Source organism: Homo sapiens, chromosome 6 (assembly GCF_000001405.40).
Source record: "Homo sapiens chromosome 6, GRCh38.p14 Primary Assembly".
NCBI classification, from domain to species: domain Eukaryota; kingdom Metazoa; phylum Chordata; class Mammalia; order Primates; family Hominidae; genus Homo; species Homo sapiens.
Genome location: NC_000006.12, coordinates 37,163,580 through 37,183,951, shown reverse-complemented (window position 1 = coordinate 37,183,951; position 20,372 = coordinate 37,163,580). Strand labels below are relative to the sequence as shown.

The following is a 20,372-nucleotide window of genomic DNA, read 5'->3' as shown; positions in this document are numbered from 1 at the left end:
GCAGGTGGATCACCTGAGGTCAGGAGTTCGAGATCAGCCTGGCCAACATTGCGAAACCTGTCTCTACTAAAAATACAAAAAATTAGCCGGGCGTGGTGGCAGGCGCCTGTAATCCCAGCTACTTGGAAGGCTGAACCAGGAGAATTACTTGAACCTGGGAGGTGAAGGTTACAGTGAGCCGAGATCACGTCATTGCATACCAGCCTGGGTGACAAGACTCCGATTTAAAAATATATATATATATATATATATATATATATATATATAAACAAAAGACCATTCTTGGACCAAGGATGAGAATATACGATGAGCCAAGGATTATGATGAATCCACTTCTGTACATCGGATGTCCTGTTATAATAAATAAAAATAAAGACAGTCCTCTGGTCTTGCCCCTAGTTCTGCTTATTTTTGCACTTCCTCCCACAGCACTGCTGAGGGGACACTGCAACCTTGCTCTTGGCAATCGGGGTTAGTAGTGCAAGGCTGGGCAGGAAATGAACTGGGGGATGAGGCCATATCTTTTTTAACACTGTTCTTGATAGGTCTTTTGTGGTGAAGGTTTCCAAGAACCAGCACAGCAGTTGAAGGAGCTGAGCAACATTTACAAGAAATGTGCCCCTGCCCCACCCCAACCCCCCCGGGTCCCCTTTCTTCTCCCTTTTCAGCCTCCAACTCTTCCTCCCCAGCCAGGCCCAAGTGAAAGATAGTTTACAGGAGTTCATAATGACTATTTCCACAGAACAGAATGGCTTACCCAACTCTGGAGTCTGGGGAAGAACCATTCTCACCTCCAGATCCTGGGCCCTGAAGGGACCTTGAGGTGGCTAATCCACACAAATGTTTGCAGTGAGCCAAGATCGCGGAGTCTGGATGACCATAGAACCACAGATGGCCTAGGTCCAAATTCTGACCTGACCACTACCTAATATGTGGCCTTTGACATGAAATTTACTGCTCTGCACATCTGTTATCCCCATCTGTGAAATGTGGATACATAACTGCATCAAGCCGGGCTAGGTGGCATGTACCTGTACAGTCAGCTACTCAGGAGGCTGAGGCAGGAGTATTGCTTGAGGCCAAGATTTTGAGGCCAGCCTGGGCAACATGACAAGACCCTCATCTCTAAAACAATAAAATAGGCAGAGCGGAGTGGCTCATGCCTGTAATCCTAGCACTTTGGGAGGCTGAGGCGGGTGGATCACCCGAGGTCAGGAGTTTGAGACCAGCCTGGCCAACATGGCAAAACCCAGTCTCTACTAAAAAAAAATACAAAAATTAGCTGGGCGTGATAGCACATACCTGTAATCCCAGCCACTCAGAAGGCTGAGGCAGGAGAATCGCTTGAACCCAGGAGGCAGAAATTTCAGTGAGCTGAGATCGCGCCATTACACTCCAGCCTGGGCAATACAGCGAGACTGTCTCAAAAAAAAATAAATAAATAAAAATACAAAATAAAATAAAATAAAATAAAACAAATAACAGTGTTTCCCCCTGTACTTTCCAATAGTGTCATAGAGTTGTTTTAAGGATAAATAAGTTAATGCATGCAAAGCATGCAGAATAGTGCTGGGCACATAGTAGGTACTGTATGTTAGCTATTATCACTAAGGAACTACTACATGCCTGGCACTAGGTTAAGAGTTATCAGGCCGGGCGTGGTGGCTCATGCCTGTAATCCCAGCACTTTGGGAGGCCAAGGCGGGCAGATCACAAGATCAAAAGATTGAGACCATCCTGGACAACATGGTGAAACTCCGTCTCTACTAAAAATACCAAAAAAAAAAAAAAAAAAAATTAGCCGGGCGTGGTGGTGGGTGCCTGTAGTCCCAGCTACTTGGGAGGCTGAGGCAGGAGAATGGCATGAACCCGGGAGGCTGAACTTGCAGTGAGCCGAGATGGTGCCACTGCACTCCAACCTGGGTGACAGAGTGAGACTCCATCTCAAAACAAAACAAAACAAAACAAAAACAAAAATTAGCCAGGCGTGGTGGCAGGCGCCTGTAATCCCAGCTACTTGGGAGGCTGAGGCAGGAGAATGTTTGAACCAGGAGGTGGAGCCGAGATCATGCCACTGCACTCCAGCCTGGGGACAGAGCGAGACTCCATCTCAAAAAGAAAAAAAAAAAGAGTTATCAAAGATGTAGTTCAGACCAGGCACAATGGCTCATGCCTGTAATCCCAGCACTTTGGGAGGCAGTGGCAAGAGGATTACTTGAGCTCAGGAGGTTGAGGTTGCAGTGTGTCGTGATCGCACCACTGCACTCCAGCCTGGGCAACATTGCAAGACCCTGTCTCAAGACAAACAGACAAACAAACAAAAAAACAAATTAGCTGGGCACAGTGGGGCCCACCTGTAGTCACAGCTACTCAGGAGACTGAGGTGGGAGGATTGCTTAAGCCTGGAAAGTCAAGGCTGCAGTGAGCCCTGATCGAGCCACTGCACTCCAGCCTGGATGACGGAGTAAGACCCTGTCTCAAAAAAAAAAACCCCAAAAAAACAACAACAACAAAAAATGAGTCAATGGGACCATAATCTAGTGTAGAGATTAGCAAATTTCTCTGTAAAGGACAAGATAGTAAATGTTTTCAGCTTCGCCAGCCATACTGAGTGTCTTAACTACTCAACTCTGCCATCGTATCACAAATGCAGCCATAGACAATATGTAAATGGACAAGATTTATTTATGAACACAGACAATTGAGTTGCATATGTGTGTACAAATGTGTGTGTGTGTGTATATATATATATATATATATATATATTTTTTTTTTTTTTTGTGAGATGCAGTCTCACTCTGTTGCCCAGGCTGGCGTGCAATGGAGAAATCTTGGCTCACTGCAAGCTCCACCTTATGGGTTTAAGCAATTCTCCTGCCTCAGCCTCCCTGGTAGCTGGGATTACAGGCAGGCACCAACACACTGGGCTAATTTTTGTATTTTGTAGATACAGGGTCTCACCATGTTGGCCAGGCTGGTCTCAAACTCCTGATCTCAGGTGATCCGCCCACCTAAGCCTCCCAAAGTGCTGGGATTACAGGTATGAGCCACCATACCTGGCCTCTTTTTTTTTCTTTTTCTTTTAGAGATAGAGTCTTGCTCTGTCAACCAGGCTGGAGTGCTGGAGCGCAGTGGTGAGATCATAGCTCACTGTAACCTCAAACTCCTGGGCTCACGTGATCCTCCTGTCTCAGCCTCCCAAGTAGCTAGGCCATCATGCCTGACTAATTTTTATTTATTTTTTGTAGAGATGGAAGTCTTGCTAGGTTGCCCAAGCTGGTCCAGAACTCCTGGCCTCAAGCAATCCTCCCACCTCGGCCTCCCAAAGTGCTGGGATTATAAGCATGAGCCACTATACCCAGCCAAGTATTATATAATTTTTACATATCACAACATATTATTCTTCATTTGATTGATTTTCAACTACTTAAAAATGTAAAATCTAGGCTTAGCTTGCAAGCCGTACAAAAACTGTACAGGGACCAGTTCAGGCAGCAGGCCATAGTTTGCTGATTCCTGGTCTAGTGGGGGAAAAACATTTAGCACATCCAGATTTCTCTGCTCCATCTGCATGTTTGGTGCCTATTTTACAGGGAAGCAGGCTAAGGCTCCATCCTTCAAAATCCAGGTGAAATGCCACCTCCTCTTTGAAGCCTTCCCAGATCCCCTCAGCCAAGGGCAGTAATAACTCCATCTGCTGCCTCCTACATGATACGCACAAATATATTCATCACTTTTAAAAGCTTATCATAGGCTGGGCATGATATTCCACACCTGTAATCACAGCACTTTGGGAGGCCAAGGAGGGAGGATCACTTGAGGCCAGGAATTAAAGATTAGCCTGAGCAACGTAGTGAGACCCTGTCTCAATTAAAAGAAAAAGTGAAAGGCTGAGGACAGTGGCTCGTGCCTGTAATCCCAGCACTTTGGGAGGCCGAGGTGGACGGATCACCTGAGGTCAGGAGTTTGACACCAGCCTGGCCAAGAAGATGAAACCCCATCTCTACTAAAAATACAAAAATTAGCCAAGCATGGCGGCAGGTCCCTGTAATCCCAGCTACTTGGGAGGCTGAGGCAGGGGAATCGCTTGAACCTGGGTGCCGTGAGCCAAGTTCATGCCTCTGCACTCCAGCCTGGGATACAGAGCAAAAATCTGTCTCTCAAAAGAAAAAAAAAAAATGGACCGGGCGCAGTGGCTCACACCTGTAATCCCAGCACTTTGGGAAGCCAAGGCAGGTGGATTACTTGAGATCAGGAGTTCAAGACTAGCCTGGCAAACATGGTGAAACCCCATCTCTACTAACAATACAAAAAGTAGACAGGTGTGGTAGCACACGCTTGTAGTCTCAGCTACTTGGGAGGCTGAGGCACGAGAATTGCTTGAACTCAGGAAGTGGAGGTTGCAGTGAACCGAGATTATGCCACTGCACTCCAGTCTGGGTGACAGAGTGAGACCCTGTCTCAAAATAAATAAATAATATTATATATATTATATATATATTTTATATATAATATATAATATAATATATAATATATATTATATATATTTTATGTATAATATATAATATATAATATATAATATATATTATATATTATATATTATATATATAATATATAATTTATGTATAATATATAATATAATATATAATATATATTATATATTATATATATAAATATATATATTTTTTTTGAGACAGAGTTTCGCTCTGTCGCCCAGGCTATACGTGATCGTGGCTCACTGCAGCCTCCACCTCCTGGATTCAAGTGATTCTCCTGCCTCAGCCTCCTGAGTAGCTGGGACTATAGACATGCACCACCATGCCCAGCTAATTTTGTATTTTTGGTAGAGACTGGGTTTCACCATGTTGGTCAGGCTGGTCTTGAACTGCTGACCTCAGATGATCCACCCGCCTCAGCCTCCTAAAGTGCTGGGATTACAGGCGTGAGCCACCACTCCCAGCTAAAATAAATAAATAAATGTTTAAAAAGAAAGAACAAAGAAAAAAAATTTTTTTTGTTTTTGAGACGGAGTCTCACTCTGTCGCCCAGGCTGGAGTGCAGTGGCTAGCTATCTTGGCTCACTGCAACCTCCGCCTCCTGGGTTCAAGCGATTCTCTTGCCTCAGCCTCCTGGGTAGCTGGGACTATGGGCACATGCCACCATGCCTGGCTAAGTTTTTGTATTTTTAGTAGAGATGGGGTTTCACTGTGTTAGCCAGGATGGTGTCGATCTCCTGACCTTGTGATCCGCCTGCCTCGGCCTCCCAAAGTGCTGGGATTACAGGTGTGAGCCACCGCGCCCAGCCAGAGAAAAATTTTTAAAAATAAAGTTTATCATAAAACATTTAAAACAACCCAAAAGTTGAAAAGAATAATACAAACACCTTACTCATACCATCTAGTTTATGGAATAAAGCATTGCCAAAATAGTTGAAGGTCTCTTTCCACAAATCACAACCTCCCTCCCTTCTCCCCAAAGGTAATAACCACTTCCCTGACTCTGGAAACTTATTATCACCCTGTACTTTTTTGTTTGTTTTGTTTTGTTTTGTTTTTTTGAGACAGGGTCTCGCTCTTTCACCCAAGCTAGAATGTTGTGGTGCCATCTTGGTTCACTGCAGCCTCCATCTCCCGGACTCAATTGATCCTCCCACCTCAGCCTCCCAAGTAGCTGGGACTACCGGCACGCACCACCACGTCCGGCTAATGCTTCTATTTTTTTGTAGAGATGGGGTTTTGTCATGTTGGCCAGGCTAGTCTCAAACTCCTGGGCTCAAGTGATCATCCCTCCTTGTCTTCCCAAAGTGCTGGGATTATGGGTGTGAACTACCACACCCTACCCCACCCTGTACTTCTTTGTACTTTTGCTACATGTGTATGCATCCGTAAGCGGGAGATAGTAGTTTTTCTGTATGTAAGTATATCTGTTATTTAACCCAGTCTCCTAATAATCCAATCCAGGAGTATCTCTGTTTAGAGATTAGTTTTAGAGGGTGTAATAACTTGCCCAAGGTTTCTAGATAAGTAAGCTCAAGGCTGATTCCCAAGTCAATGCTTTTAACCATTGCTCTCTATATTCCTCTGGCCATGACATTGATCCCCCGCAGACTTATTGGTTATCTGATTCCCTTTCCACGCTAGATGTCAAACTGCCCCTGAGAAGAGATTAAATATGACCTTTCACCCTCCCCCTAAAACTCTTAATCTCTTGCATCCAACAGGAGCACGATCTGTCTTTATTCAGAGATACTTTCTTCTATTCCCCCGCAGCAGTCTCATTAGATGGGGAAACTGCCAGAAACTCACTTCGAGAAAGAGAAGGGTGGGGCTTTGCCTGATTTCGTTAATAGTTTGCGGCAACTTTTAATTATCCAAGTGTCAGCTTTACTGGAAAGGACGAAGCATGCAACCCTCAGGCTCCAAGATGTTGGTAGTGTGTGTATGTTGTGTGGGGGATGGGAGAGATTAGAGAAAAGGGGAACCTCAGAAAATCAGCCCCCCAGAACCAAGACATCCTTCCTTCCTCTTTATAGCCACATGGGGGCTGAGCTGAGGTATGGGATCTAGTCTAAGCTTAAGGGTAGACATACACCAGAACCCAATGAGGAGTGAGGGGTATTATAGTCTGCACCCTCCAGCAACCTCGAGGGTGCATATGGGCCAGTGTCCAAAGGGTGTGTGGATGCATTGAGGGTTGGGAGCATGATGACCCCCAGGGAGGGAGTATTATAACTGTGGATATTTATAAAGAAACAAGAAACCAACATTTACCAATACTTAATATATGAATTGACAATGGCACTCCAGTGTGCTTTCAAAATATCAGGATGTATTCAGGCCACACGTACAAAGTGGATTCATGGGTCTTGCCATCCAGTTTAACTAAACTCACACAAAATGGACAAAGGGCCTATTAAACAGATCCCTGCAAAGAAACCATGGACTAAAAATACTAATTATTCAAGAATAAGCAGTAAGAAAATGGCAGAGCTAACATTTCACCTACTCCCAATATTAGCCCTTTGTCAAACACATCAGAGGGGGAAACCTTAAGTCAAACTCACATTTCTACCCATCCACTATTGTGTGTGTGTGTGTGTGTGTGTGTGTGTGTGTTTTAAGTGGGGTTACCTGTTGCCCAGGCTGGAGTGCAATAGCGTGATCATAACTCACTGCAACCTTGGAGCTCCTGGGTTCAAGCGATCCTCCTGCCTCAGCCTCCTGCATAGGTAGGACTACAGGTGTATGCCACCACGCTCAGCTAATTTTCACTTATTTTTTGTAGACTGGGTCTTATCTGGTCACGACTTTAGTGTCACCACACTGTTCTATTATTTTTTCTATGCTGCATAATAAATTATACTATTGTTAAAGACTAGGCCAGGCGCGGTGGCCCACGCCTGTAATCCCAGCACTTTGGGAGGCCAAGGCAGGCAGATCACTTGAAGTCAGGAGTTCCAAACCAGCCTGGCCAACATGGCGAAACCCCGTATCTACTAATACAAAATTAGCTGGCCTGGTGGCACATGCCTGTAATCCCAACTTCTCGGGAGGCTGAGACAGGATAATCACTTAAAACCCGGGAGGCGGAGCTTGCGATGAGCCTAGATTGCACCACTGCACCCCAGCCTGGGCAACAGAGCGACACTCCATCTCAAAAAAAAAAAAAAAAAGGCTGCGGAGCACGATGGCTCACACCTGTAATCCTAGCACTTTGGGTGGCTGAAGCAGGCGGATCATAAGGTCAAGGAGCTCGAGACCAGCCTGGCCAACATGGTAAAACCCTGTCTCTACTAAAATACAAAAATTAGCTGGGCGTGGCAGCGGGCGCCTGTAATCCCAGCTACTCAGGAGGCTGAGGTAGAACTGCTTGAACCCGGGAAGTGAAAGTTGCAGTGAGCCGAGATCGTGCCACTGGCAGTGGCACGCCAGCTGGTCCAGCCTGGTTGACAGAGACTCAGTCTCGAAAAGAAACTAAACCTCACACTAAAGGTGAAGGAAACTTGAATCAGGAACCGAGAGTAATAGAGGCAATAGTTTTTCAATAAACTTCACGTGTACCAAGGGGACATGCTCAAAATGTTTTACTATCAGTGGCAGACAACTGATAAAAGCTTCAAGGGTTAGTTTGGTAATAGGTATGTATTTGTTATCTCTAGATCAGCCCCATCCAATAGAACTTTCTGCAATGATGTTTTATATGAGGTGGCCACTAGCCATAAATGGCTATTGAACACTTGAAAATTGTCACATCTATCCTATTTGCATAGCTTTAAAATTGTAATCTGGAAAAGGTTATTTTATTAGGCCTCCCATGCCAGATATTGCCCAAATTTTGACAATACTGGTCCTACCCCTTGACCATACATTCGTTTCAGGAAGATGACTATCCTAGAAATCCCAATGTTGAAGGAAGCCAGATTTAGGCTGAGAATTCCTTTCTCCTACAATTCTTTGGCACTTACCAAATGCTCAATAAATGCAGGTTAGCAATGCCTCCGCACAGACGATTAGAAGCCACGAGTTAAGACAAAAGGTTTTTATTCAAAAAACGCCAAGTATAAAAAAAAAAATAAGATCTCTTTTATTCCCCTGTACAGTATTTCACTCAGATAAAACCAGCAGGCTACCTGCTGCTCAAAACACAGCCCCAGAGAGGATCTGGAAGGCACACCATCCAGAACTGCTTTTCATAATTATCCTATATACACAGTCAGCAATGCCCCTCCCCATCACCCACAGAGCCGGGACCCACCTGGGTAAGTAGGTGAGGGGCCCCACAGAAGCCAGGGAGCTGCAGCACTGTCCCGCCTGAGTCCCGTCACCCCACAAACAGAGCAAGCGTCGCAGCCCTCCCCCAAAAGGTCCCCAAGTCAGAGGAGGAAAGGAGGAAAGAAAACTAGGGCAGCAGCTATGGAAGCTTGGAATAGGAAGGGAACCAAATAAATAAATAAATAAATACATAACATTGACCTCCAGGTTAGAATGCGCATCTTTCAAAACAAGAAACAAAAACAGGTAAAATAACTTAAAGGCAAAATTTCTTAAAAATTAGATCCACTACAATCTTTTTGTATACTACCATGCCAACTGTACACACATTTACAGCTTTTCTGTTGATTGCATTGTTTGTGCATTTTTTGTGTGTGTGAGGTCTTGGCTTTGAAACAGTTAAGTAAAAACCAAAAAGGAAGACCAGTTCACTCGGAGTTTTACTAAAGGAGGCAGAAAAAAGGGCAGGTGGCTCAGCGTTTGGCCCTGTAGCCTCTTCCATGGCACCTTTCATATGAAGGAGGGGGTGAGGGAGGACAGGAGAGAAAAATAGGGAACAAAACCCAGGCAGATTTTTGGAGAAGCAGCAGGTAAAAGAGGCAAGTTCAAGTATTTCTCCCAGCACAGCCGGAGTCCCCACAGAAGGCACTCAGAAAGAGTCGGAAGAGGTGACAGGGACTTAAAATGGTGCTAGTCCTATCCCATCCCAACCTGTTTCCCCCCTACCTGACCCATCGCGGCATTCAGCAGAACTCATGATGAAGGAAACAGTTCCATGGCAGGGTTCTGACCCACCCCCACCCCCCACCCCCGGGATATTTCAGAGTCCAGCAATGCTGGACACCTATGAGAAGAAGAGAGTATCTATGGGAGGAGTTGAGGCCTAGGACCCCTGGAGAGTCACTCTTCCCCACTGTTGGGAGGCAGCCTCCAGGGGCCTGGGATCTGGAATGAGTTGTAAATGTTGTTCCTGTATCAAGCACTGTCCTGCTTGGCGAGACGTGTCACTGGTACTCGGGAAGCTGGAGACAGAAGCTTCCCCTCCCTCGGGCATCTGACAAGAGAGGGGAGGACCTGCCAGAAAGGCTGCTATTTGCTGGGCCCCGGCGACAGGCTGTGGAGGTGGATCTCAGCAGTTTCCTGGGGCAGGAGAACATCTTGCATCCATGGATGGTTCTGGATTTCTTCGAAGGTTGGCCTATCTGATGGTCTCAGGGCCAAGCACCATCTAATGAGATGCTGACATTCTGCAGAAAGGAGGATAGACGAGGTTATGAATGACTCAACTTGTTTTTACACTGCAAAGGTCTTCCCCATTTGCTTCTCAGAGGCCCACAAGTCTGGGGTCCCAGGGAGGCCAAGCATTTTCTAGAACACTGTGCTGGGTACCCTTCAATAGGAAGGTATTGACTAATATCTGGGTCCTCCAGTCTGCTTTCAGCTAAAAACTGACTCCCCTCTTAAACCTGTGGTTTTCAAACTTCAATAGTGGGGGCCTTTCCCACAACACCCACTCACCAGAAATAGGAAGGATGATGACAAGAGATTTTGATGAGACACCACTGAGCATGATGAAATGATTCAATTCACCTACCAACTTACAAACACGAACACCACCCACAGTGAGGTCACTGGTACCAAAATATTTGGAGCTGCTGCCTTAAAGAAGATGCTAAAAGAGCTTTTAACTTTTTACTCCCTGGCAAAACAGCCAGGAATTATCAGGTTTCTGTTGGTACCTTTAAAAAAGTTTTTGGAGAAGCCAGATTGTCTTTTCTTCTTAATATGCTCACACATGCCTTCCTCTGACCTCCCAAGGAAAGCTCAAGTGCAAACCATGTGATTTATGAGGCCAGCTCAAGTGTAAATCACTCACCTACAATTCTAAGCCAAGGGTGACAGAATCTACTGGAGAGTGAAGCTCTCCAGAATTTCAAAGACTGTCCCATGAAGACTAATAGCCCCATTAAGACCAATAACCCCATGGCCAGGGGTTTCCATCAGTTACCTGAAGAGACCCTCTGCCTGAAGAAAACCTGGCCCCTGATGATCTCTTCGTCATGCTCGAAAGGAATATCTCCACACACCATATCATACAGCAGGATCCCCAGGGACCAGACTGCCGCCGACCTGCCATGGTAGCGATGGTAGCGGATCCACTCTGGAGGGCTATACACTCGGGTCCCTGTGAGCCAAGGGAATAGAAGAGAAAACACACTTTTAGCAAAAACAAGCACAAAGAAGCTGGGTGGTATATATAACTCTTTCTTTTAAAAAAAAAAAAAATCCCTTCTCTCAGGAGCTAGGTGAACTCCATTTTTCCCTCTGGGCTAAGGAGAGTGGAGGCGCACCTTACGGCATCTCTCCAACCCAAAGCATTACCCACCTCTCTGCTAGCCCAAACCATAAACTGAAATTCTTTATGAACTGCTCCAAGAAACAAACACAGCTGGCCGCAGACCCAAAACTTGAGGCCCTGTGAGGCAGGACCGCCTGCGAAGGATGAAGGGATGCATGTCTGCACAACCAAGAAAGGTATCTCATAGACTATCCTTAAATTGCATTCACCACTGCCCAGGAGCCCGGGTGAGATTCTCATGGCCGACAGGATCCAAGCAAGGATGCTTGCACAACATCCTAAGTCAGGGTGCCCTTTGGGAGGCCTTCCTCCCCACCCGATGCAAGCAGGAGCAGACACCCACACCCTTTCCTCCCTAGACTGGAAAGGTAGACAGAGCTGCAGGGTTGGTTTCAGACCACGTGATTCCTGTTTACAAACTTTGGGTAGTAAAAGAAAAAGGAGGGGCCATGCCGCTGGTGCTCACCAGGGGGCAGCAAAGACTTGAAAGAAAAAACATGGGAGGACCCGGCCAGCCATTAACTGTTAAATACAAAAAATGCAGCCCAACCCAGCGTCCTCCAAGGGCAAATAAACATAAACCACAAGCCCGAGTCACAAGTTTTGAAAGGCTGTCGTTTGTTAGGTTAAGCCGCTCAGATGATGACCCACCCTCCGCAGCTTTGATCTCAGGCTCTCCATTCCTTCTTTTCTGAAAGAACCCGCTCCAAGCCCCTCCCTAGGATAGGTTTTCATCCTCTCTGCGGAGACACCCAACTAATTTTCAAACCAGCGACAGATCTTATTTCACAACATTCATTCCTGACTCTCTCTCCCCTTAACACTAAAGAAAAAAAAAAGCCACCAGTAATAATATAGTTCCTATTCCTTAACCTTCCCTAGATCAGAAAGGAGTTAAGAACTGCAGCTCTAAAACTACCATACAGAAAACTAACTCCCTTATAAAATAAAACAAAAATTACAAAACCGGCATCAATTTCCACCTCTTCCCCCGCCCCCATCCTTTTACTGGCGGGGAAACTGGGTCAGACTTTAGAAAAATCTGGGCTACCGCCGGTTGCCCACAACCTCTTATTCATCGGGAAAGCCTGGAACTAACTGAATTCCACTTGAAGAATAAAATCATGCCAGAAACATTACAGGTTCAGCTGGCTGAAAATCCCCGGCTTTACTACGCTGGGAGGCTCTCCTGCGTCCCACCCCGGCTAGCATCGAGCCAGGCGGCCCAATGACCTTTACAAAAGGCTGGCGCGGGAGACTGGCCGAGGCCTCCGGACTGGGCCGGGCCGGGCCGAGTCACCTGGGCAGCTCCCTCCCGGGCCTGGCTCACCATCGAAGTCCGTGTAGACGGTGTCCTTGAGCAGCGCCCCCGACCCGAAGTCGATGAGCTTGAGCTCGCCGCGATTGAGGTCGATAAGGATGTTTTCGTCCTTGATGTCGCGGTGGAGCACCCCGCAGTTGTGGCAGTGCCGCACGGCCTCCAGCACCTGCCAGAAGAAGCTGCGGGCCAGCTCCTCTTGCAGGGCTCCCCTTTCCGTGATGAAGTCGAAGAGATCTTGCACCGGCTCGGGCCTCTCCAGGATCAGGACGAAACTGTCGGGCCTCTCGAACCAGTCCAGGAGCCTAATGACGCCGGAGAAACCCGAGCTCACCTTCTTCAGCAGGACCACTTCCATGGGCACTCGAGTGCCATTAGGCTGCAGGGGCGAGGGGGCCGCGTTAGGGCGGGAGTCGGGGGCGCCCCTCACCCCACCCACTCATCCTGGGGGTCGCTCCTGCAGGGCACTCACCAGCTCTCCCCAGTCGGAAATCCGGTCCTTCTCCACGTGTTTGATGGCCACCTGGAAGCCCAGGGTCTCCGTCAGGTTCCCTCGTCCGGGCTAAAGCACGCCCGTGCGCCCCCCGCCCGGCGCGCCCTCCCCACCGCGGGGCGCCCACTCACCGGCAAGTTGTCGGAGACGCGGATGCCTGAGTAGACCGAGCCGAAGCCGCCGCTGCCCAGTAGCGGGCCCACCTGGTACTGCGACTCCAGGGGCTCCTTCTCCTTGCCTAGGAAAGGGGGAAGCACGGGGACTCAGTGCCGGCCCGCGAGCCGCCAGCTCCCCACCCAGGAGATCCCGCCGCCGCCCCGCATCCCCGGGCCGGAGGCGGGGGGTGCTCTCACCGGGCGCCAGCTTGGTGGCGTGCAGGTCGTTGCAGGGCGCGGCGCGCAGGTGGGCAAGCGAGTTGATTTTGGACAAGAGCATCCCAACCTCCAGGATGTCGGCGCAGGGACGGTGCCCAGAGGAGCTGCCGCAGGAGCCGGAGCCGGGGCTGTGCCGAAGGCTATGCCTGGGGCTGTGGCTGTGGCTGTGGCTGCGGGTGGCGTTGCGGCTGTGGCTGCGGCTGGCGCGGAAGGCCGAGGGCGAGTCGGAGGACAACTGAGGGCGCTGCCGGGACTGGCGGCGGGAGGGCGCGCCAGCGGGGTCGGGCAGCGCTGAGAACGGCGGGGTGAGCGGCTCGTGGGGCTCGTGCGGCAGCGCCGCGGGGCAGGAGGCTAGTGGTTGCTGCTGCTGCTGCTGCTGCTGCTGCTGCCGGTCCCGCCGCCGCCGCTGCCACCGACTCCTCTCGGGCCTCCTCAGCCACCGCGGCCGCTGCAGCAGACGCCCGGCTCGCCCCGCAGCCAGGAGTAAAGGGGAGGAGCGCGCCGGCGGGGAGGGCGCGCGGGGAGGGCGCGGCGGGCGGGGACGGGGCGGGGCCTCTCCGGGAGGCCAAGGCGGGGAGCAGGGCTGCCGGGCCGGCCGAGGGAGGAGAGGGGGTGGGGAAGCGGCGGGACTGGGCGACTCCCCTCGGCCCCCGCCCCGCGCGCTCTGTGGCCGCGCCCCGGCCCCGCCCCTGCCAGCGCTACTCCAGCCAACCAGAGGCCGATTGATCTGCATAACTCGGCGCGCCCCGCCCCCGCCCCGCCCAGCTCTCGCGGTCAGAATGGTCTCTACGCCGCCACGACGTGGCGGGAAGGAAAAGGCGCCAAAATGGAGGGGGAGGGGCGCGGGGCGTGAGGGGAGGCGGGAGCTGGGTGTAGGGCCGCGAGGGAGGAAGGATGGGGAGGGGCGTATCGATTCAAACCCAAACAATAACAAAGCCATCAAAGGCCGCCCGAGGCCGGCTCTGCGGCTCTCCGTTTCGCTGAGGGTTTTGGGTCAAGGGCTCGAGCCGGAGCATAACAAGTTGCGCGGAGACGACGGGCGTTAGTGTGTCAGGCGGGGAGGCCGGCGCGCCGGGTGTCGGACTGTGTGTGGGGATGCCGACGAGGGTGGTCTTTCTGTGTGACTCAGACCCGAGACCTCCAAGTCGGCTGGGGCGGGCTGACGTCGCGCTGTAGGCTGGGGGCGGATTCTGGGGGTTTGTGTGTTGGGGGGCGCGTCGGGGGCGAAGGATCCGCAGGACATGAGTCACGGAGGGAGTGGAGGAGTCAGGCCTGGAACAGAACTGGAGGCGGGAGCCCCGCTCCTGCGGGAAAGGGATGCAGCCCTCAGTCGTTCCGGCCGGCTAAAAGCTCAGCCACGGGATTCCCATTTTAGAAATGCAAAAGCACCAGCGAATCCTGATTTCTGGGAAGGGATGTGTGTCAAAGGGCCGGGTAAAGAGGAAATCACGAAGCAAATGTTAGTGTTGTGATGCCAGATGCTGCCTCAGCCCCTTCTGTGAGGGCGGAAAATTCCTCATCTAAAACGAGGGTGGGAGGGTGCGCTTGATTTAACCAGTTTTCACGTTGTAGTCACCTTTTCATCAGCCTGTTATTACCAGGCAGGCAATACCAGCAATTATTGGCCAACCCCAAGTCTTGTCTCAAAGGAAACCCCCCACCCTCTGCCTCCCTTGGAAATAACCCGGAACACTGACCAATTCCACTTGCATCCTTTGTCCTTTTAAACTTCATGTAGAGTTGATAACGACGTGTGAAATGAGTAAATTAAAATACTATATAATCCATAAATTGAATTGTCAGTGGCCTAAGTAATTGAAAGCTAACTACATTCTATTTTAATTTTTTGAAGTGCCTGCCATTTAAAGGAAAAATCAGGATCCCTATAGCTGTCATTAGTGAATTTAAATGTTTCCTTTGAAAGTTTTCTACAGTGCTTGCTTTATAAAAGTGCCCAGATCCTCCACAACTTTTATGAATTTATCCTACAAAATATTACATATTTTCCTTTTGTTTGTGTACTGTGGCCGAACTCATTCATTTTTTATGACTAGGAGAAAACCCAAGGGAACAAGAATTACTCCCTTTTTGCAGATAGGAAAATGAAACATAAATAGGATGGCACAGGGTCATACAGCAGCTAAGAGAGGAGATGAAATGACCCAAATTCACCTCCTGAGTATTCAAAGCTTTCCGCTTATCAGGGTCTAAAACTGTCCTTGGCACCGAACAAGACATCATTAAACATATGTGATTCCCACTTCCATCCCTTCTACCCTCCCTTTCCTTTCTCAAACCCTCAAATGTAGTCAAACAGAACTATTCCCACTTGTTCCCACTCGCCTAGCACTTTACAGACCCTTTGCCTTTGCGGAAGCAATCAACCTGTCCTGGGAGAGCCCTCTCTACCTCTCCACTTTTATTCAAAGCCTTTCCACTCTTTAGGAAACAATTGTAGTTCTACCACAGATTGATGAACAAACTCAGAGCATTGGTTCACTGTCCACTAATCTGACAGTTGGGATTTGTTTTTTTAAATCCTTTTTGTTCATTTACTTTTCCATTATACTTTGTCTTCCTATTCCTTGAATGCCCTTTTTTTTTTTTTTTTTGAGACGGAATCTCGCCCTGTTACCCAGGCTAGAGTGCAATGGCACTATCTCGGCTCACTGCAACCTCCATCTCCCGGGTTCAAACAATTGGTTCTCCTGCCTCAGCCTCCCAAGTAGCTGGGATTACAAGCGCCCGCCACCATGCCCAGCTAATTTTTGTATTTTTAGTAGAGACGGAGTTTCACCATGTTGGCCAGGCTGGTCTCGAACTCCTGACCTTATGATCCGCCTGCCTCGGCCTCCCAAAGTGCTGGGATTACAGGTGTGAACCACCATGCCCAGCCTCCTTGGATTACAGGTGTGAGCCACCATGCCCAGCCTCCCTGAATGCATACTTTATCCAACATTTGTTGATAAAAGAGAAGACTATAATGGATTCTAACAAAAAGGCCATAATTAAAGTCAATTTATACCAAATTTAAATGAATTAAGTGGGCTTCGGGAACATAAAAGTTGGGAGCAAGGGCTTTAAACTAAGTTAGCCTGGTTTCAATTCCGGGATCTGGCAGCTACTAGTTAGGCATTGGTCAAGTTACTTAACCTTATTAAGCTTTAGACAGAATGGAGATAATAACAGCATCTACCTCATAGGGTTGTTGTAAGGAGCAAATAAAACTCTTGTTTGTAAAGCATATAACCCAGTACAGAGTAAACTTCTAATAAATATTAGCAATGATGATGGCAATAATGTTGATCGTGGTTATGATGATGATGTTTTTTAAAACGGCCTTTTTTTTTTTTTTTTTTTTTTTGAGACGGAGTCTCGCTCTGTCTCCCAGGCTGGAGTACAGTGGCGCAATCTTGGCTCACTGCAAGCTCTGCCTCCCAGGTTCACGCCATTCTCCTGCCTCAGCCTCCCGAGTAGCTGGGACTACAGGCGCCTGCCACCACGCCTGGCTAATTTTTTATATTTTTAGTAGAGACGGGGTTTCACCGTGTTAGCCATGGTGGTCCCGATCTCCTGACCTTGTGATCCACCTGCCTTGGCCTCCCAGAGTGCTGGGATTACAGGCGTGAGCCACCGCGCCCAGCCCAAACGGTCTTACACCTAGAAGGTACCAAAGGTAAACTACTGGATTAATAGTTCGATTTTTAACCATTTGGGGAGAGATGTGATTTAAAATAGTTGTTTCTAGTAGATCTTTTAGGCCTTTTAGAAAAAAAAATATGTATCAACTTCAACCTTTTTCACTTTTTCTAGGTCTTTGAAGGACTAAATATTTAATTAGAGCTAAAGTGATTAACATTTAATATATCTACTTTGTATAGTGGGGGCTTCACAGCTGGAAGTTACAAAACATGGACCTTGCTTGGCAAACAGCTTTGATTTACTTAAAACTGCTTTAAAAGATAATTAGTAAACATTCAGATGTGTTGTGGGTCAAAAGTTACTCCTCGAGAGTAGGGAACTTGATGTTTTGATTTATCGAAATATAGTCTTAATAAAATTAGCACTATTTGTGCTATCTCAAAGAATCTAACAAAGAATCAGAAAAATCACCCTAATAATTAAATGACAAGTGCTTTTGGAAGGATAAAAGGCCACAATTATGCTAACAGTTCTCTGGGAAGAGGAGCATTTATTAATATTAATTTGAACAATATCCAAATTAATCCTTAGGTGGTTTTCATATTCTGCCTGATATGGGTTTAATCAAGTCATTGTCAAAGGAATGACTTCATCCAGGGACTATATGCTTATGCAAAAAAAAAAAACAAAAAAACAATGACTTCAGCAAGTTCTGTAGTCACGAAATTTTTTTAAAAAACAAGTTTAGAAGAAAGTTTGAAAGTGATATCGGTACACAATTTTTTAAAGTGTCTGTAAGTCTAGTCAATGCATTTATATAACTAGGATTGTATAACTAAGACTCTATACGCTATTTATAATTAATCAGGTAGAGACGTATTGAATCTGCATCACTCATTTATCTCCTAAAAAAAATTTACTCAGTTTTTTATTTATTTTATTTAGTTTATTTGTTTTTGAGACAGAGTCCCACTCTCGCCCAGGCTGGAGTGCAGTGGCATGATCTCGGGTCACTGCAGCCTCCCCTTCCCGGGTTCAAGCGATTCTCCTGCCTCAGCCTCCCAAGTAGCTGGGATTACAGGCGTCCGCCACAACACCCGACTAATTTTTGTATTTTTAGTAGAGACGGGTTTCATCAGGTTGGCCAGGCTGGTCTCAAACTCCTGACCTCAAGTGATCCGGCGGCCTCAGCCTCCCAAAGTGCTGGGATTACAGGCATGAGCCACCGCGCCTGGCCAGACAGGAAACATTCTAAATTTAAAAAGACCAGGCATGGTGGCTCACGCCTGTAATCCCAGCACTTTGGGAGGCCGAGGCAGGCGGATTGCTTGAGCTCAGGAGAGCAGCCTGGGCAACATAGGGAAACCCTGTCTTTACAAAACAAAAACTGAATATTTCTTTTTTTGTTTTAATTTTTATTTATTTATTTTTGAGACAAAGTCTCACTCTGGTCACCGAGGGTCCGGAGTGCAGTGGCACAATGGATCACGGCGCACTGCAGCCTAGACCTGCGCCCAAGCGATCCTGCTGCCTGAGCCTCCCACCTAGCTGGAATTACAGGGGTGAGCCACCACGCCGGGCTAATTTTCACTTGTTCTTTTTTTGTGTGTGTGACGGGGTTTCGCTCTGCTACCGAGGCTGGAGTGCAGTGGAGTGATCTCGGCTCACTGCAAGCTCCGCCTCCCGGGTTCACGCCATTCTCCTGCCTCGGCCTCCCGAGTAGCTGGGACTACAGGCGCCCACCACCACGCCCAGCTAATTTTTTGTATTTTTAGTAGAGACGGGGTTTCACCATGTTAGCCAGGATGGTCTCGATCTCCTGACCTCGTGATCCGCCCGCCTCGGCCTCCCAAAGTGCTGGGATTACAGGCCTGAGCCACCGCACCCGGCCGATAATTTTCACATTTTTTGTAGAGATGAGGTTTACCATTTTGCCAAGGCTGGTCCCAAACTCCTGGGTTCAAGTGATCCATCAGTCTTGGCCTCCCAAAATGCGTTTCTTTGTTGTTGTTGTTGTCTGAGATGGAGTCTTGCTCTGTCTACCAGGCTGGAGTGCAGTGGCGCAATCTTGGCTCACTGCAACCTCTGCCTCCCGGATGCAAGCCATTCTCCCTGCCTTAGCCTCCAGAGTAGCTGGGATTACTGGAGCCTGCCGCCACACCCGGCTAATTTTTGTATTTTTAGTATAGACGGGTTTTCACCATGTTGGTCAGGCTGCCCTCAAACTCCTGACCTCAGGTGATTCACCCGCCTAGGCCTCCAAAGTGCTGAGATTACAGAGATTACAGGCGTGAACCGCCGCGCCCGGCCGAAAATGCTGGTATTACAGGCATAAGCCACTAAACCCAGCTGAAAACCTTTTTAAATTGAAATCATTGTGATAGTGGGAGACACTTAGGAAATCCACCATGTCCCAATTTCAGAATGATCAAGGAATCTATGTAGTCACTAGAACTAGTTCTTGGCCTTTTTTTTTTTTTTTTTTTTTTTTTTTTTAGACAGAGTCTCACCCTATCGCCCAAGCTGGAGTGTAGTGGTGCGATCTCGGCTCACTGCAACGTCCACCTCCCGGGTTCAAGCAATTCTCCTGCCTCAGCCTCCCAAGTAGCTGGGACTATAGGCGTGTGTCACCAAGCCCAGCCAATTTTTTGTATTTTTAGTAGAGACAGGGTTTCACCGTGTTAGCCAGGATGGTGTCGAGCTCCTGACCTCGTGATCCATCCGCCTTGGCCTCCCAAAGTGCTGGGATTACAGGTGTGAGGCACCATGCCTAGCTAGTTCTTGTCCTTGATAAGGATATGATATTTATTTCATTTTTTTTTTAAGACGGAGTCTCTATCGCCAGGCTGGAGTGCGGTTGTGCGATCTCAGCTCACTGCAACCTTTGGCCCCTGGGCTCAAGGGATTTTCCTGCCTCAGCCTCCGGAGTAGCTGGGACTGCAGGCATGCGCCACCACGCCCAGCTAATTTTTGTATTTTTAGTAGAGACGGGGTTTCACCATGTTGGCCAGGATGGTCTCGATCTCTTGACCTCGTGATCCGCTCGCCTCGGCCTCCCAAAGTTCTGGGATCACAGGCATGAGCCACTGCGCCTGGCCTATTTCAGTTTTATAAATCTATTTTAGCCAGCAAGGTTGGGAAAAGAAAGGGCTATTTTACAATAAAGTATATTTAAATTATTACCAATTCATTTGTTTTGTTTTTCAGAGGAAATAAAAGTAATCTAGATTTATTTTTGGAATTTTGCACATTAGATACTGACAATTTGAGTAAAAATAATATTTACTGAAGGCATTATACACAAAGATTTTATAGTTCCTGAGTATTGCTGGATAGATGAATATAAAAAGGAGTAGCTTAGAACATATAAAGGCTACAGGAAGCCTGGAGACTGTTATAAAATACCTTATTAGAA

General features: G+C 47.9%; 1 protein-coding gene across 2 annotated transcripts, besides 7 other annotated features; it reads right to left on the bottom strand.

The window, feature by feature from the left end:
• Positions 469-682: a transcriptional cis regulatory region, noted in NCBI's record as "TAD2.SE2.HS2 sgRNA1-sgRNA3 range targeted for Mosaic-seq CRISPR perturbation". NCBI's record gives its function as "positively regulates PIM1 gene expression in K562 erythroleukemia cells {active_cell/tissue: K562}" and the evidence as "EXISTENCE:mutant phenotype evidence [ECO:0000015][PMID:28416141]".
• Positions 8,524-13,800, bottom strand: PIM1 (Pim-1 proto-oncogene, serine/threonine kinase). Of its 2 annotated transcripts, none has more exons than NM_002648.4 (6): positions 13,295-13,800; positions 13,073-13,179; positions 12,921-12,971; positions 12,461-12,827; positions 10,780-10,956; positions 8,524-10,018 (listed from the first exon to the last, which is right to left on the bottom strand). In NM_002648.4, exons 1-6 carry the CDS (start codon positions 13,374-13,376, stop codon positions 9,861-9,863), a joined length of 942 nt encoding a protein of 313 aa, NP_002639.1. In that variant the 5' UTR covers positions 13,377-13,800; the 3' UTR covers positions 8,524-9,860. Both variants share the same exon structure in this region, with proteins under 2 accessions (NP_002639.1, NP_001230115.1).
• Positions 11,442-12,035: an enhancer, noted in NCBI's record as "NANOG-H3K27ac hESC enhancer chr6:37139693-37140286 (GRCh37/hg19 assembly coordinates)". NCBI's record gives its function as "activates a minimal SCP1, AML or CMV promoter by ChIP-STARR-seq in naive H9 embryonic stem cells {active_cell/tissue: H9 hESC(naive)}" and the evidence as "EXISTENCE:reporter gene assay evidence [ECO:0000049][PMID:30033119]".
• Positions 11,683-11,782: a silencer, noted in NCBI's record as "silent region_17132". NCBI's record gives its function as "represses an Ori minimal core promoter by ATAC-STARR-seq in GM12878 lymphoblastoid cells {active_cell/tissue: GM12878}" and the evidence as "EXISTENCE:reporter gene assay evidence [ECO:0000049][PMID:35858748]".
• Positions 12,972-13,291: a silencer, noted in NCBI's record as "silent region_17131". NCBI's record gives its function as "represses an Ori minimal core promoter by ATAC-STARR-seq in GM12878 lymphoblastoid cells {active_cell/tissue: GM12878}" and the evidence as "EXISTENCE:reporter gene assay evidence [ECO:0000049][PMID:35858748]".
• Positions 13,552-14,331: a silencer, noted in NCBI's record as "silent region_17130". NCBI's record gives its function as "represses an Ori minimal core promoter by ATAC-STARR-seq in GM12878 lymphoblastoid cells {active_cell/tissue: GM12878}" and the evidence as "EXISTENCE:reporter gene assay evidence [ECO:0000049][PMID:35858748]".
• Positions 13,552-14,555: a biological region, named in NCBI's record as "NANOG-H3K27ac-H3K4me1 hESC enhancer GRCh37_chr6:37137173-37137771".
• Positions 13,957-14,555: an enhancer, noted in NCBI's record as "NANOG-H3K27ac-H3K4me1 hESC enhancer chr6:37137173-37137771 (GRCh37/hg19 assembly coordinates)". NCBI's record gives its function as "activates a minimal SCP1, AML or CMV promoter by ChIP-STARR-seq in naive H9 embryonic stem cells {active_cell/tissue: H9 hESC(naive)}" and the evidence as "EXISTENCE:reporter gene assay evidence [ECO:0000049][PMID:30033119]".